The following is an 18,569-nucleotide window of genomic DNA, read 5'->3' as shown; positions in this document are numbered from 1 at the left end:
ATGGTTTTTTTTTTTTTTTTTAGATAAAGTCTCACTCTATCACCCAGGGTGGAGTGCAATGGTGCAATCTCAGCTCACTGCAATCTTTGCCTCCTGGGTTCAAGTGCTCCTCATGCCTCAGCCTCCTGAATAGCTGGGATAACAAACATGCGCAGCACACCCTGCTGATTTTTGTGTTTTAAATTGAGATGGGGTTTTACTATGTTGGTCTGGCTGGTCTGGAACTCCCGGCTTGAAGTGATCTGCCTGCCTGGGCCTCAAAGAATGCTGGGATTACAGGCACAAGCCACCACTCCCAGCCTATGCATAATTTTTATATTGTGCAATGTCTAAGAAGTTTTTTTCCCCACAGTTATAATAACAATATTCTTCTTCATGTTCTCCTAGAAGTTTTATTTTGTGTTCTGTTTTGTTTTGTGTTTTTGAGACAGAGTCTCGCTCTGTCACCCAGGCTGGAATGCAGTGGAGTGATCTCGGCTCACTTCAACCTCCACCACCCAGGTTCAAGCGATTCTTCTGCTTCAGCCTCCCAAGGCGTGCACCACTACTCCCGGCTAATTTTTGTATTATTAGTAGAGACAGGGTTTCACCATATTGACCAGGCTGTTCTCGAACTCCCCACCTCATGATCTGCCACCTCGGCTTCCCAAAGTGCTAGAATTACAGGCATGAGCCACCCCGCCGGGCCTCTCCTAGAAGTTTTAAATCCTCAATATATATGGACAATTTTTGTGTTAGTTGCTTTGTAAGGATCCAATCTACCTAGGTAGAACCAATAGGTTAGCTATTAGTTTATTGACTAGTTCCGCTTTGCCAGTATAATTGTGTAACTGATTTCTCATTTTAACCTGTTGGCTGAAACCATGGATGCAATGTTTAATAAAAATCTTGAATACCAGCATAATTATTGTTTATGACATTGAAAGACAAGATTTCAGTAGTTTATTATGTACATTTGCTGTACTTTACTTCAAATACCTTGTATATTTAGAAAATAAAGCATTCTTTTTTTCTAGTTATGTTACCAAGCTCTTATTGTGTGCCTATTTTATGTAGACATGTAGATTATACAATGTTCAACTTATCCTGTACTCTTAAGATAAACTTATTGTTGGTTTTATTCATTTTATACAGAGAAAGAGTCACTTTATTTGTAATTGGTTTAAAAAATTTTTGTCTTGGCTGGGTGCGGTGGTTCATGCCTGTAATCCCAGCACTTTGGGAGGCCAAGGCTGGCAGATCATGAGGTCAGGAGGTTGAGACCAGACTGACCAACATGGTAAAACCGTGTCTCTACTAAAAATACAAAAATTAGCCGGGCATGCTGGCATGTGCCTGTAATCCCAGCTACTCAGGAGGGTGAGGCAGGAGAATTGCTTGAACCCAGGAGGTGGAGGTTGCAGTGAGCTGAGATTGGGCCATTGCACTCCAGCCTGGGCAACAGAGTGAGACACAGTCTCAAAAAAAAAATTTGTCTTTGTGAATGAGATTGTTTATAGTTGTCCTTGTTTTGTCTCTGTCAAGCTTTGACATAAACTCAGGAATTGAGTTGTGCAGTGTTTTTACCTATTCTATTTTTGAGAAAGGTTAAGTACTATCAACCTCATGCTTTTCAGTTTTAAATTTTGAATGCTTGGAATACTTACCAGACATTTTTCTGAGACTGATATTTGTAGCATATGTGTTAATTTCTACTGATCTAGCATCTAGTTTACTGGTTCTGTCTTGTACACATAAGTTCAAATGTAGTGAGTTTTTTAGTTACTGTATTATTCATTTTACAACTCATTTTTAGAATCTTTATATAGTTTCTTCTTTCCTGCAGATACTTTCATTTGTCTTTTTTAGATATGGTAAGCATAGTTGTTTTTTATTCTTTGTGTCTGATAATTCTAATATTGGATGTCTTTGCAGATTTGTTTCTGTTATGTTTTTCTCTGGTGTCTTTCACATGATGTTATTTATTGTGAACTTTGTCATATTTGATTGCTTGCTAGTCATTGCACATAATGGAAAATTGTTTGCAAGTTTCATCAAGGTCCAGAATAGATGTGACTTTCTTTGGGAGAGTTTGCTTTTGCTTCTTTCTGTTTCCTGGGGATTCTACAATTTGAAGGAATTATTTGTACCACTTCAGGTAATTTAGTTCATTCAGAATTAATATAATTGATGGAGAAATGCATGTAAGACCCATGTGTAGAAACAAGTTTGCAGACATTTTTTTCTCTTTTTTTTATTTGTCTTTATGACCTGTCCTCAACTTGAAGACAGCCTTGTATGCCATTCCTTGGTGTTGGGAAGAAAACAACTGTTTGGGCCATACATATTCTTTGGAGTCCCAGGTTAATTTTGAGGTTTTTATAATATATCACATGTGCTAAACATCTAAAAGTACTTAATACATGTTAGAAAACATCATTAGACTAGTAATTCTTAACACAAATTGTAAGGAATTAAGGTGCATTACTAGGTTCTATAAAGAGAAGGTTTTTGTTTAGAATATTTTTTATAGATTATGTTTATGAACTGTGAATACATTTTAATATGTATAAGGCAAAGAATGAGATGTTTGGATTCAAAGATGCATAAGATCAAACACTGAAGAAATTTTCTGTGTAGTTGGGGAGAAAAAAAAATCAAAAAGCCAATGTAGCCCATGGATTGCAAGTTTCTGCCTCCTGTCCTCACCTTACCTGGCTGTGCCCGGCTGCCAGATACCAAGATTTGTTTTTAATCATGGAAGAAAAAGCCTTACAAAGTGATGACATCACAGGTGTGAGCCACCGTGCCTAGCTATATTTTTCTATTTTTAGTAGAGATGAGGTCTCACTATGTTGCCCAGGCTTGTCTTAAACTCCTGAACTCAAACAATCTTTTCCCCCTGGCCTCCCAAAATGTTGTGATTACAGGCATGAGCCAGCACACTTGACCCAATAAGTACTTTTAAAAATATGGCAGAGAGCACTTTGGGAGTCTGAAGCAGGAGGACTGCTTTAGCCGAGGAAATTGAGATCAGCCTAGACAATATAACAAGACCTTATCTCTACAAAACAACAAAACAATAAAAACAGAGAAGGCTTCTTCTATGTGACCTTCTACACTTTCAACCAGTGACTTTTCTGCAGGTAAACACTGTATAAGTTCATTTTATCTTTACACATATTTGCATGTGTATATGTGATTTTATGGACCTTTAGAAATAGTATTGCATGTGTGTTTCCTGGATGACACCGTGTGTTCAATGGTTAGAAGAGCAGGCTCAGAGTACCTGTGTAACCTTGGGCAAGTTTCTCGACTTCTCTGACTCATTTGTTACTCAGGGATAATAACGTGAATAAAATTAGTGCTGTTCTTTGAATGCAATAATAAAGTAGATAAACTATTTCAAGAGGAGTAAAAATTTTACAAAAGATAAAAGAAGATATTTAGATATACATTCAAGATTCAAACATAATATTTTTTTAAATGTCATGACATTAAACTTGAAAATTTAGATGAAATTATCTATTTTCCAGGAAAGTATGTGACAAAAATTGATTGTGGAAGAAACATGAGATAAATAGAAAAATCAAAAATTATGTTTTTAATTTTACACCCATAAAAAGCACATATATTATAAAATAACAGCTTTATAAGTTTTTACAAAATGCATATACTATGAACCCAGCACCCAGTGACGGACAAGTGTGAACAATACAATGTGAACCATGGACTGCATCCACATGCCATGTGCAGGACCTCACCAGTGGTCTCTGTTGATGTGTAAGAGGGACAACCCTCACCGTTGGCTGGGTATGCCTATAAGAATCACAATTTTAAGTTTGTGCTGGGATCTGTTATGACATTCTCTGTACCACCCAAGGGGTCGTACAATATGCGTGAGTTCTGTGACCTTCATACAAGTAGAAGGCCCAGAACCTTACCCATTGCTTTAAGGCTACCTATGAGAGTCAACATATCTCGTATTGGCTAGATCCGGGTATGCGAGTCATCACTGTGCCTCTGAGCTGAGTCTGGAAATCAGTCACTATTCAACCTGTTCTCAGATCCACATATGACAATCAGAATTTTAACTGTGGACTGCACCTGCATGTGAGGTTCAGGACCTCACCAGTGTGCTACTTTCATGTTTGGAAGTGATGACCCTAATTGTTGGCTTGGTATGCCTATGAGAGTCACAATCTCACTATGTGCTGGGCCCTTATTATACTGTCTGTATTACTCAAAGTATTTATAGAATATGCATACATTTCATCAACTTCTGTTATCCTTCTAAATGTAGGAGACTTAGGACTTTACCCACTACTCAAAGTCTAGCTAACAGAGTCAAAATCACTCCTAGTGGCTGGTTTTCTATATGAGCATGGTCATAATGCCTGTGAGCTGGGAAAAAAAACATAGGTTGAAATTTAACCTGTGAGAAGGGAAGAGGCAAGATAATCAGATCACCTGAATGCTGGACCAAAAAAATGTCAATATCCACTCTCTGGGCAGGGCCATGGCAGTAAAATCACATAACCTGGGAACTGGGCCTAATAGTATGTCACAATGCCACCTGTGGGCAGGGTTCAGGCAGAAAAGTTACATTACCTGTGTACAGGGCACAGTAATATGTCACAATCCACCCTGTGTACAGGGCCCAAGCAGAAAAGGAGAGTCATAATACCTAGTTGATGGGCCCCTGATATGTCACAATGCCTCATATTGGAAGGGCCAAGGCAGGAGAGTCATATCATTTGAGTGCAGGGCTCAGTGATATATCACAACCCACACTGAGGCAGGGCCCAGGTGGAAAAGTAGAGTCACATTACTTAAGTGATGTGTCCAGTTATATGCCACAACTCTTGGTGTTGGCAGGGCCCAGGCAAAAGAAGATAATCATTTAACCTAGGTGATGGGCCCAGTGATGTATCACAATCTCCCCTGAAGACCTATGCAGGAGAGTAAAATAACTTACATGATGGGCTCAGGTATATGTCACAATTCCATTTGTGGGCTTTTCCCCAGCAGGAGGGTCAAATAATTCAAGCGCTGGACAAAGGTATATGTCACAATCACACCAGCAAAAAGGTCCAGATATAAAATTTAAACTTTCACACATTTTCTGGCTCCAGGTATGAGAGTCAAGACCTCCTGTGAGTTGGGTATAAGTTCATGAGTCACAGTCTTAATAGCGGACTGTATGCCTGCATGAGAGCCACAATTCTAAACACAAATTTTTCAGTATATGAGTCACAGCCTCACAGGCATGCTGAATCCTGGTCTTTGAGTCACTATCTTACCTGTGGACCAGATGTATTCATGAGAGTCAAAATTCCAACTTTCAACTACCTGCACATGTGAGGTTCACAGCCTCAACAGTGGACGGTTTCCATGTGGGAGGGTGACAATGTTTACTGTTGGCTGAGTGTGCATAAGAAAGTCACAATTTCACCTGTGTCCTGGGACCTGTTATGACACACTCTGTACTAACCAAGGGCTTTATATGGTGTGAGTAACAGTCACAATCTGCTTTGAGACCTTCATGCTGGTATGAACCAATGATCTATTACCAGGTATGTGTCAACATCTCTCTTATTGGTCAGATATATTTATGACAGTCATCACAGTGCTTGTAAGCCACCTCCAAAAATAAGTCACCATATCAGCTATCCCAGGACACATATGAAAGGCACAAATCCAATTGTGGACTGTGCCTGTAAGATTCAGGACCTCACCAGTGGACTCTGTCCATGTGTGAGGGTGACAATCCTAATTGTCAGCTGGGTTTGCCTACGAGAGTAATAATTTCACCTGGGTACTGGATCCTGTAACTAAACTCTAAATGTCACACAAGGGCTTTAGAGAATATGCTTGAGTGTCATAATCTTTTGTGACCTTTCCTCACCCAGAACTTTATGCTTTTTCACCCAGAACCTTATCCATTGCCCTAAGCCTAGAAAACAGAAGCCAAATCTCCCCTATTGACTGGGTCCATATAGGAGGGCTATCATTACACACACCTCTAAACTTGGCCTAGATATATGTCACAATAGCTCCTGTGAGCAGAAATCAGACAGTCACATCACTTTGGTGCTTGGCCAAAGATATGTCACAATTCCACTCATAAACAGGACCCAGGAAGATGTGTCAAAAATGGCCACTGTACGCAGGAGTCACATCACCTGGGTGCTTGGCCCAGCTATATGTCACAATCTATTCTGTGGAAGAATACAGGCAGGAAATGAGAGTCACATCACCCAGGTGCTGGGCCTAGTTATATGTCACAATCCTCCTGCAAGCAGAGTCAAAGCAGAACACAAAAGTCATATCACGGAAATGATGGACCCAGTGATATGTCACAATCCCCACTGAGGGCAGGGCCCAGGGGAAAAAAAAGAGTCAAATCACCTAGGTGATGGGTTCAGGCATGTCGCAATGCCTTTTTTGGGAACAGCCTAAGCAGGATTGGAGAGGCACATAACCTACAACATATGGCCCGGAGATATGTCACAATCCCCCTTGAGGGCAGCGCCCAGGCAGGAGCATCACATATTCTTGGTACTTGGCCAAGGTGTATGTCAAAATCTCAACTATAGAATGGGCTTCTGCAGGACAGCAAAATTCATCAGTTCTCTGACAAAGATACATGTAACAATCACCCTGTGGGAAGGTCCAGATATAAGATTTACAATCTCGCACTTGTCCCAGCTTGAGGTATGAGAGTCAACTCCTGTGAGTTGTGTTCAAGAATGTGAATCACATTTTTAACCATGGACTGGATCAGTGCCTGAGAAAGCCAACCCCAACTCTGGACAGTGTTTCAGTGGGGTCAGTCACTGCCTCATAGGTGTGATAAATTTTGGCCTGAAGATACAATCCTAACTATCCTACCCGTCACCAACCTACCTGTGAATCAAATCCACCTATGAGAATCACAATTCCAACTTCTGAATACCCCTGAATGTAAGATTCAGAGCCTCAACAGTGGGCTGTGTCCATGTGAGAGGGTGACAGTTCTTACTCTTGGGTGCGTGTGCATACAAGGGTCTCAATCCCACTTGTCCTGAGCCCTGTTATGACACAATCTATACCACCCCAGGGCTTTATGCAGGATGCATAAGAATTGAAATTTCCTGTAAGACCTTAGTGCTGATATAAGCTCATGATCTTACCCATTGCCCTAAGCCTGAGAGTCAACATATCTTCTGTTGTCTGGGTCCAGGTATGAGAGTCATCCCTGTGACTGTGAGCTGGGTTCAAAAATGTGTCAACACCTAACTTGTGGCCAGATCCACATATGACATTCATAATTCCAACTGTGGACCGTGTTTCCACTTTAGATTCTAGACCTCACCAGTAGGCTCTGTTCCTGTTTGAGGGTGACAATCCTAACTGCTGGCTGGGTGTGTTTAAGAGAGCCACAATCTCACCTGTGTGCTGGGTCCTGCTGTGACACTCTCTGTGCCACCCAAGGCCTTTATATTATAAGCATGTGTAGTAATCCTCTGTGACCTTCGTACAAGTAGGGGAACCAGGACCTTACCATTTGCCCTAAGCCTAGCTATGTGAATTAATATATCTTTTTTTTTTTTTGCTGATTCCAGATACAAGATTCATCATCATGCCTGTGAGCTGGGTCCAATAATGAATCACCATCCTACCTGTGGCCAAATGCATATATGACAGTTACAACTCTAACTGCAGACTGCATCGGCATGTAAAATTTAGGTCACCAGTGGGCTCTCTCCATGTTTGAATGTGGTGATTCTAATGGTCAGTGAGGTGTGCATAGGAGAGTCACAATCTCATCTTCAAGTGGGCCTTGTATCAGCACTCTCTGTACTCTCTTAGGACTATATGACATATCGGTGGGCTTATAATGTTCTGTGACCTTTGTACAAGTAAGGGACACAAGACCTTATTTGTTGCCCTATGCCTCACTATGTGAGTAAAAAATCACATCTTTTGGCTGGGTTTATGTATGAGAATCATCATCATGCTTTCCAGCAGGGCTCATGTATGTGACACAAGGCCCACCATGAACAGGGCCCAGGAAAAAGAGTAGAGGCACATTACCTAGGTGCTGGGCCCAGTGATGTAATTTTGTTTTGTGGGTAGGGCCAAGACAGTAGAGAAATGTCACATCACTAGGTTCTGAACTTAGTGATAAGTAACAATTATCCCTGAGGGCAGGGCCCAAAAAAAAGTCACACTACCTAGGTGCTTGGCCCAGGTATATGTTAAGATCCTAACTGTATGCCAGGCTCAGACAAGAGAGTTAAATTACTCAGGTGCTGGGCAAAGCTATATATCACAATCACACCTGCAGAAAGGTTAAGTGATAAGATTTACAATCCCACACATGTCCCAGCTCTATGTATCAGAGTGAACTCCTCCTGTGAATTGGGTCTCAGTAAGTGAGTCACAGTCTCAAAGGTGGACTGGATTTGTGCATGACAGCCACAATCACACCCGCAGACTGCATCTCGGTAGAGGAGTCACAGCCTCCAGGTGTGCTGCCTCCTGGTCTGAGGTCATCATCTCAGCTGTGGACCACATCCACCTATGAGAGTCACAATTCCAACTTTTGACTGCTTCTGGTTGTGAGATTCAGAATCTCAACAGTGGGCTGTGTCCATGTAGGAGGCTGACAATCCTTACTCTGCCTGTGTGCATATCAGAGTCACAGTCTCACCTGTGTGCCAGACCCTGTAATGACCCTCTCAGGACCAATGGGGGACTTTGTACAATATGTATAGTGTCATAATCCTCTGCTACCCTTATGCAAGCAGGAGACCCAGAACATTATGTGCTCCCCTAAACCTAGTTAACAGAGTCAACATCTCTCCATTTAGCTGAGTCCAGGTGAAAGAGCCATCACTGTTTTCTAAGCTGGATCCAGAAGTGAGTCATCTTCTCATCTGTGATCAGATTTAAATATCACAGTCACAATCCCAACTGTGAACTGTGTCAGTTTGTGAAATTTAGGACCTCACCAGTGGGCTCTGTTTATATGGGAGGGTGATGGTACTGTCAGCGGTGTCTGCATAACAAAGTCACAATCTCACCTGTGTGCTGGGCCCTATAATGAATCTCTGTACCACCCAGAGGGATTTATACAATATGCATGAGTGTCATAATCTTCTGTGACTTTCATACAGGTAGGAGACCCAGGACCCTATTGGTTTCCTTAAGCCTAGCTATAAGAGTCAACATCTCTTTTATTGGTTGGGTCAAGATATGAGAGTTCTCACTGTGCCTGTGAGCTAACTCCATAAACAGGTCAACATCACACCTGTGGCTGGATCTACACATGACAGTCAAAATTCCAACTGTGGACTATGTCCGTGTACAAGATTCAGGACCTCACCAGTGTTCTCTGTCCATATGAGACAATGACACTCATAACTGTTGGCTGGATGAGCATACAAAAGTCACAATTTCACCTGTGTGCTGGGTGCAGTTATATGTGAAATTCTCACCTGTGGAAAAGAAACCAGCTAGGAGAGTCACATTTTTTTTATTATTATTATTATACTTTAAGTTTTAGGGTACATGTGCACAATGTGCAGGTTTGTTACATATGTATACATGTGCCATGTTGGTGTGCTGCACCCATTAACTCGTCATTTAGCATTAGGTGTATCTTCTAATGCTATCCCTCCCCCATCCTCCCACCCCACAACAGTCCCCGGTGTGTGATGTTCCCCTTCCTGTGTCCATGTGTTCTCATTGTTCAATTCCCACCTATGAGTGAGAACATGCAGTGTTTGGTTTTTTGTCCTTGCGATAGTTTGCTGAGAATGATGTTTCCAGCTTCATCCATGTCCCTACAAAGGACATGAACTCATCATTTTTAATGGCTGCATAGTATTCCATGGTGTGTATGTGCCACATTTTCTTAATCCAGTCTATCATTGTTGGACATTTGGGTTGGTTCCAAGTCTTTGCTATTGTGAATAGTGCCACAATAAACATACGTGTGCATGTGTCTTTATAGCAGCATGATTTATAATCCTTTACTGGCCATCAGAGAAATGCAAATCAAAACCACAATGAGATACCATCTCACACCAGTTAGAATGGCGATCATTAAAAAGTCAGGAAACAACAGGTGCTGGAGAGGATATGGAGAAATAGGAACACTTTTACACTGTTGGTGGGACTGTAAACTAGTTCAACCATTGTGGAAGTCAGTGTGGTGATTCCTCAGGGATCTAGAACTAGAAATACCATTTGAGAGTCACATATTTTAAGTGCTGGGCTAAAGATATGTTACAGTATCCCCTATGGGCAGGGCCCAGGAAGGAGAGTTAAATTACCTGTGTGCTGTGACCAGTGATATGTCACAATGCCTTCTATGAGAATGGCCTAGGCAGGAGTTTTTAATTACCTTTGTGCTGGTCCAAATCCCCCTCAATTGGCATGACCTAGAGAGAATAGAAAAGTCACAATCCCCCTCAACTGGCATGGCCTAGAGAGAATAGAAGAGTCACAGCACCTAAATTATGGCCACAGAGATAAATCACGATACCTCCTGTGGGCAGGGCCTAGGATAGAGGGTCACATCACTTGCAATCTGGGCTCAGTAAAATGATTCAATCTCCCCTATGGCCAGAGCTCAGGCAGAAGAATAGAATCATATCACCTAAATGGTATGTCACAGTCCATTTTCAAGGGGCAGAATGCAGGCAAAAGAGGAAAGTCACATCACCTAGGTAATGAGTTCAGAGGTAAGTCACAATACCTACTGTGGGCAGGGCACAGGCCGTACAGTCACATCACGGAGGTGCTGAGCTCAGTGATATCTCACAATGGCTCTGTGGGCAGGGCCCTGGCTGAAAATAAGAGTCACATGACCTAAGTGCTGAGCCCAGTGATATTCTACAGCACCCTCTGTGGGTAGGGCTCAAGCATGAGAGTCACATCACCTAGGTGTTTGACCCAGGTATCTGTCACAATCCCCTCTGAGGGCTGGGCCCAGGCAGGGGAGTAAAATTACTCAGGTGCTAAGCAAAAGTATATGTCACAACAACACTTGTGGAAGGTCCAGGGCTAAGATGCACAATTCCACACGTGTCCCAGCTTCAGGTAGGAGAGTCAACACCTCCTGTGCATTGCATGCAAGTACATGAGTCACAATCTCAATGATGGACTGAATCCATGCATAAGAGTCCCAATTCCACCTGCAGACCATGTCCTGCTATCAGAATCAAAGCCTCACCGGTGTGATGAACCCTGATCCTAGTGTCATCATCTACCTGTGGACAAAATCCACAAATGAGAATTAGAATTCCACTTTTCAACTGCATCCAGATGTACAATTCAGAAGCTCAACAGTGGTCTGTATTCATGTGGGAGGGTGACACTTTTTACTGTGGGCTGGAAGTGCATATAAGAATCACAATTTCAGTTGTGTTCTGGGTCCTCTTATGACACTCTCTTTAACTCCACAGGGCTTTACATTGTTTGGGTGAGAGTCACAATCCCCTCTGAGACATTAGTGCTGTATAAACTCATGATCTTGCCTCTTTTCCTAAGTCCAGGTATGAGAGTCAACACCTCTCATATTGGCTGGGTCCAGGTATGAAAATCATGACTGTGTCTCTTAGATGGGTTCAGAAATGAGTCACCCTCTTACCTGTGGCTGGATCCACACATGACATTAAAAATTCAAACTGTGGACTCATCTGAGAGTGAGATTCAAGACCTCACCAGTGGGTTCTGTCTGTGTGTGTGGATCACAATTCTTATTCTTGGCTGGGCGTGCATTTGAGAGTCACAATCTCCACTTTGTGCTGAGTTATGTAATGACACTCTCTGTACAATGTGAGGGCATTATACAATATGAGTGAGTTTGATAATTTTTTGTGACCTTCAAACAAGTGAGAAACCCAAAACCTTGCCTCTTGCCCTAAGCCTAAGAGTCAACACATCTTCTATTGGCTGGGTTCATTGTGCAAGTGAGTTGAGTTCAGAAATTTGTCACCATTCAACCTGTGGCTGAATCCATATATGACAGTATAATTTCTTTTTTTTTTTTTTTAATTTATTTTTTTATTGATAATTCTTGGGTGTATCTCACAGAGGGGGATTTGGCAGGGTCATGGGACAATAGTGGAGGGAAGGTCAGTAGATAAACAAGTGAACAAAGGTCTCTGGTTTTCCTAGGCAGAGGACCCTGCGGCCTTCCACAGTGTTTGTGTCCCTGATTACTTGAGATTAGGGATTGGTGATGACTCTTAACGAGCATGCTGCCTTCAAGCATCTGTTTAACAAAGCACATCTTGCACCGCCCTTAATCCATTTAACCCTGAGTGGACACAGCACATGTTTCAGAGAGCACAGGGTTGGGGGTAAGGTCACAGATCAACAGGATCCCAAGGCAGAGGAATTTTTCTTAGTGCAGAACAAAATGAAAAGTCTCCCATGTCTACTTCTTTCTACACAGACACAGCAACCATCCGATTTCTCAATCTTTTCCCCACCTTTCCCGCCTTTCTATTCCACAAAGCCGCCATTGTCATCCTGGCCCGTTCTCAATGAGCTGTTGGGCACACCTCCCAGACGGGGTCGTGGCCGGGCAGAGGGGCTCCTCACTTCCCAGTAGGGGCGGCCGGGCAGAGGCGCCCCTCACCTCCCGGACGGGGCGGCTGGCCGGGCGGGGGCTGACACCCCCCCACCTCCCTCCCGGACGGGGCGGCTGGCCGGGCGGGGGCTGACACCCCTCCACCTCCCTCCCGGACGGGGCGGCTGGCCGGGCGGGGGGCTGACCCCCCCACCTCCCTCCCGGACGGGGCGGCTGGCCGGGCAGGGGGGCTGACCCCCCCCACCTCCCTCCCGGACGGGGCGGCTGGCCGGGCGGGGGCTGACACCCCCACCTCCCTCCTGGACGGGGTGGCTGGCCGGGCTGTGGGGCTCCTCACTTCCCAGTAGGGGCGGCCGGGCAGAGGCGCCCCTCACCTCCCGGACGGGGCGGCTGGCCGGGCGGGGGGGCTGACCCCCCCCCACCTCCCTCCCGGACGGGGCGGCTGGCCGGGCGGGGGGCTGACACCCCCACCTCCCTCCCGGACGGGGCGGCTGGCCGGGCAGAGGGGCTCCTCACTTCCCAGTAGGGGCGGCCGGGCAGAGGCGCCCCTCACCTCCCGGACGGGGCGGCTGGCCGGGCAGGGGGGCTGACCCCCCCCACCTCCCTCCCGGACGGGGCGGCTGGCCGGACGGGGGGCCGACCCCCCCACCTCCCTCCCGGACGGGGCGGCTGGCCGGGCGGGGGCTGACACCCCCACCTCCCTCCCGGACGGGGCGGCTGGCCGGGCAGAGGGGCTCCTCACTTCCCAGTAGGGGCGGCCGGGCAGAGGCGCCCCTCACCTCCCGGATGGGGCGGCTGGCCGGGTGGGGGGCTGACCCCCCAACCTCCCTCCCGGATGGGGCGGCTGGCCGGGCAGAGGGGCTCCTCACTTCCCAGTAGGGGCGGCCGGGCAGAGGCACCCCTCACCTCCCAGACGGGGCGGCTGGCCGGGCAGGGGGGCTGACCCCCCCCGCCTCCCTCCCGGACGGGGCGGCTGGCCGGGCAGAGGGGCTCCTCACTTCCCAGTATGGGCGGCCGGGCAGAGGCGCCCCTCACCTCCCGGACGGGGCAGCTGGCCGGGCGGGGGGGCTGACACCCCTCCACCTCCCTCCCGGACGGGGCGGCTGGCCGGGCGGGGGGCTGACCCCCCACCTCCCTCCCGGACGGGGCGGCTGGCCGGGCAGGGGGGCTGACCCCCCCCACCTCCTTCCCGGACGGGGCGGCTGGCCGGGCGGGGGCTGACACCCCCACCTCCCTCCTGGACGGGGTGGCTGGCCGGGGTGTGGGGCTCCTCACTTCCCAGTAGGGGCGGCCGGGCAGAGGCGCCCCTCACCTCCCGGACGGGGCGGCTGGCCGGGCGGGGGGGCTGACCCCCCCCCACCTCCCTCCCGGACGGGGCGGCTGGCCGGGCGGGGGGCCGACCCCCCCACCTCCCTCCCGGACGGGGCGGCTGGCCGGGCGGGGGGCCGACACCCCCACCTCCCTCCCGGACAGGGCGGCTGGCCGGGCGGGGGGCTGACCCCCCAACCTCCCTCCCGGACGGGGCAGCTGGCCGGGCAGAGGGGCTCCTCACTTCCCAGTAGGGGCGGCTGGGCAGAGGCGCCCCTCACCTCCCAGACGGGGCGGCTGGCCGGGCGGAGGGCTGACCCCCCCACCTCCCTCCCGGACGGGGCGGCTGGCCAGGCGGGGGGCTGACCCCCCCACCTCCCTCCCAGACGGGGCGGCTGGCCGGGTGGGGGGGCTGACCCCCCCATCTCCCTCCCGGACGGGGTGGCTGGCCGGGCTGTGGGGCTCCTCACTTCCCAGTAGGGGCGGCCGGGCAGAGGCGCCCCTCACCTCCCGGAGGGGGCGTCTGGCCGGGGGGGGGCTGACCCCCCCACCTCCCTCCCGGACGGCACGGCTGGCCAGGCAGGGGGCTGACCCCCCCACCTCCCTCCCGGATGGGGCGGCTGGCCGGGCCGGGGGCTGACCCCCCCCCCCACCTCCCTCCCGGACGGGGTGGCTGCCGGGCGGAGACGCTCCTCACTTCCCAGATGGGGTGGCTGCCGGGCGGAGAGGCTCCTCACTTCTCAGACGGGGCAGCTGCCAGGCGGAGGGGCTCCTCACTTCTCAGACGGGGTGGTTGCCAGGCAGAGGGTCTCCTCACTTCTCAGACGGGGCGGCCGGGCAGAGACGCTCCTCACCTCCCAGACGGGGTCTCGGCCGGGCAGAGGCGCTCCTCACATCCCAGATGGGGCGGCGGGGCAGAGGCGCTCCCCACATCTCAGACGATGGGCGGCCGGGCAGAGACGCTCCTCACTTCCTAGATGTGATGGCGGCTGGGAAGAGGCGCTCCTCACTTCCTAGATGGGATGGCGGCCGGGCGGAGACGCTCCTCACTTTCCAGACTGGGCAGCCAGGCAGAGGGGCTCCTCACATCCCAGACGATGGGCGGCCAGGCAGAGACACTCCTCACTTCCCAGACGGGGTGGCGGCCGGACAGAGGCTGCAATCTCGGCACTTTGGGAGGCCAAGGCAGGCGGCTGCTCCTTGCCCTCGGGCCCCGTGGGCCCGTCCGCTCCTCCAGCCGCTGCCTCCCGGGCGGCGCTCGCCGGCGCGGCGGCAAAGACTGAGACAGCTCCGCTGCCCACTGAACTCCATCCTCCCGGCGGTCGGGCGGCAGCTGCTGCGGTCGGTCGCGGCAGCAGCTCCGCTTCATATCTGCAGCTGGGGCCCGCGGGCGTCAGCGCCGCGACTGTCCCGGCTCCGCACTGCCCTGGGCCGCAGCGCAGCCGCGCCAACCACCACCCGCGGCCACCATGGCCGGACAGTATAATTTCAATGGTGGAATAGGTTCATGTGTGAGATTCAGGACCTCACCAATGGGCTCGGTCTATGTGTGAGGGTGGCAATTCAAACTGTTGGCTAGGTGTGTATAGGAGAGTTACAATCTCACCTGTGGACTGGGCCCTGTAATGGCACTCTGTATTGCCCAAAAGCTTTATACCGTATGTGTAAGTGTCATAATCTTCTGTTACCTTCTTACAAGTAAAAGACCCAGACCCCTAAGCATAGCTACCAGAGTCAACATCTCTCTTACTGGCTTCGTCCAGGTATGAGAGTTATCACCATTCCTGTGAGCTGAATCCAGAAATGAGTCACTATCCCACTTCTGGTGAGAAATACATAAGACAGTCACAATTCCAACTGTTGATGTGTTCACATATAAGATTCAGGACCTCAACAGTGGTCTTTATTCATGTGTTATGGTGACAATAGCAACTGTTGGCTGGGTTTGCATACAAGAGGAAAAATTTCATCTGTGTGCTGGGCTGAGTAATATGTCACAATCTTACCTGTGAGAAAGGCTGAGAAATGAGAGTGACATCACCTGAATTCTTCACCTGGAAAATATCTCAATCCCCTCTATAAGTAAGGCCCAGGCAGGAGAGTAACATCATTTGTGTGCAGGGCCAAGTGACATATCATAATATTTTCTCTAGGTAGAGTCCAGGCAGGAGAGTCACAACATTCAGGTGCTGGGCCCAGAGATATGTCACAATCCCCTTTGGGGGCATTTCTCAGGCAGCAGAGAAGAGGCACATTATGTAGGAAATTGGCTCAGAGATGTTTCACAATGTCTCTCTTCACCTTTTGGGTGAAGGGACAGGTGAAGAGTCACATCACCTACATAATGGACCTAGCAATATGTCACAATACCCTCTAATGGAAGGGCAAAGACAAGAAAGTCACATAACCTAGGTGAGAAAATCAGAGATATGTCACAATGTATGCTATGAGTAGGGATCATGGAAAAGAGGATAGCCATAAAACCTAGGGGCTGCACCCAGATATATGTCACAATTACCCCAGTGGGTAGAGCCTAACCATAAGAGGAGAGTCAAATAACATAAATGCTGTGCCAAGCATTATGTCAAAATCCCCACTGTGGACATGTCCCTTCCCACCCAAAAAAAGAGTCACATTATCTATATTTTGGGACCACAGATATGTATCAATGATGCCTGTGGGCAGAGAGCAGGCAGAAGAACCACATCACTTGTGTGCTGGGTCCTGATAAGTCACTCTTACCTGTAGTCATGGCCCAGACAGAAGAGGCAAGTCAAATTAGCTGGGTGCAGAGCCCAGAGATATATCACAATGCCTACTCTAGGTAAAGCCCAGGAAAGAGAGGAGACTCAGATCAAATAGTCTATGGGCCCAGAGATATATCACAATGCCCCCTTGTAAGCAGGGTCCAGGCAAAGGACTCAAATCTCTTTTGCGTTGGGCCCAGCAATATGTCACCATGCCTTCTGAGGGTAGGGCTAAAGTGAAAGAGTAATATCACCTTGGTGTTGGGCCCAGCAATAGGTCAATATCTTTTGTGTGAGCAGAACATAGAAAAAAAAGAAGAGTCACATCAACTGGGTGCTGAGCCCTGGGATATGTCCCAATTCCTCCTGTGAGCAGAAACCATGCAGGAGAAGAAAGTCAGAACACATAAGTGATGGGCACAGAGACAGTTTATAATGTCCGCTGTTGGAAGGGCGCAGGTGGAAAAGTAACATCACCTGGTGTTGGACAGTGCAATATGTCAAAATAGCCAATGTGGTCAGGGCACAGGCAGAAATCACATAACCTGGGTGCAGGGCCTGGCAATACATCACAATGCCTTCTATGGGCAGAGCCAAGGCAGGAGAATAGGTTACATCAGCTAAGTGCTGCACCAAGTGATATGTCATGATCTCTGCTGAAGGCTGGACCCAGGCAGGAGAATCACTCAGATTCTGGGCAGAGGCATATATCAGATTCACACCTATAGGAAGGTCCAGGGATGAGATTAATCCCACACACTTTCCAGTTCCAGGTATGAGAGTCAACACCTGTAGGTTTGGGCTAAGCATGTGAGTCACAATCTCAACAGGGGACTGAATTTGTACACAAGAGACTAAATCTCTCCTGAAAACTGTGTTCCCTTAGTGAAGTCACAACCTCACTGTTGTTGGGAGTCTTAGTCTGAGAGTCACCAACTCGTCTATGGATCAGATCCATGTATGAGAGTTAATTCTCCAACTTTCCACTGCCTCTGGGTGGGAGATTCAGAACCTCAACAGTGGGCTGTATTCATGTGGAAGAATGACAGTCTTTACTATTAGCCACCTGTGCATGGGATAATCACAATGTTACCTGTGTGTTGGGCCTTGTGGGGACACTCTCTCTACCATTCAAGGTATTTATATGGTATGCATGAGAGTCAAAATCTGCTCTGAGACCTTCGTGCTAGCATGCACCCATGATTGTACCTGTGACCCTAAGCTCATTCATGAGAGTCAACATCTCTTCAGTAGATTTGGTCCAGATAGAAGTTTCTCAACTGTCTATGTGCTGGGTTTAGAAATGAGTCACCATCCCAATTGTGGCTGGATGTTCACATATGACAGTCACAATTCCAACTGAACTGCATCCGCATATGAGGTTGAAGACCTCACCAGTGCACTGTGTCCATGTGTGAATGCCTTTTAGTTCATGTGACATAAGTAATCTTTGGGAAATAAAAACAGCTTTACATGCAAGGTGTGTAAGAAAAATAGAATGTGCTTTCAGTATAAGATTATAAAAAGGCATAAGAATGTTAATATTGGGGCCTCGGTTAGAGATCTAAAGGGTTGTTTTAAGTTAGAATAAACCTGAAGGTTTGAGCAAGTTGTGGAAGGTTTTTAAAAATTTAATCTCATAAAAAAATTCTGTGTGTGAACATACTGGCTAAAGTTAAATAGATATTCAGTTTTTCCATAAATTGAACATTGGAATAAAAGCTCAACAGGTTTTTTTTAGAGCACAGATTTGCCGTTTAACAAAAATTTTAAAGGGTTGTAAAAGATTTCTGAGAATCTTACCTTATAGTCAAACTAATTAAGCTTTGATATGTTGTATATAAGATTTTATTAAGAACTTTGGCATCATTACTATACTAACACAAAGGTGAAATATAGGCTTCCACTCTTGAACCAGATTTTCATGTTGTATTTAAAAAATG

This window comes from Homo sapiens, chromosome 19 (assembly GCF_000001405.40).
Source record: "Homo sapiens chromosome 19, GRCh38.p14 Primary Assembly".
Classification (NCBI taxonomy): domain Eukaryota; kingdom Metazoa; phylum Chordata; class Mammalia; order Primates; family Hominidae; genus Homo; species Homo sapiens.
The sequence above is the reverse complement of the archived record's forward strand: the minus strand, read 5'-3'. Positions refer to the sequence as shown.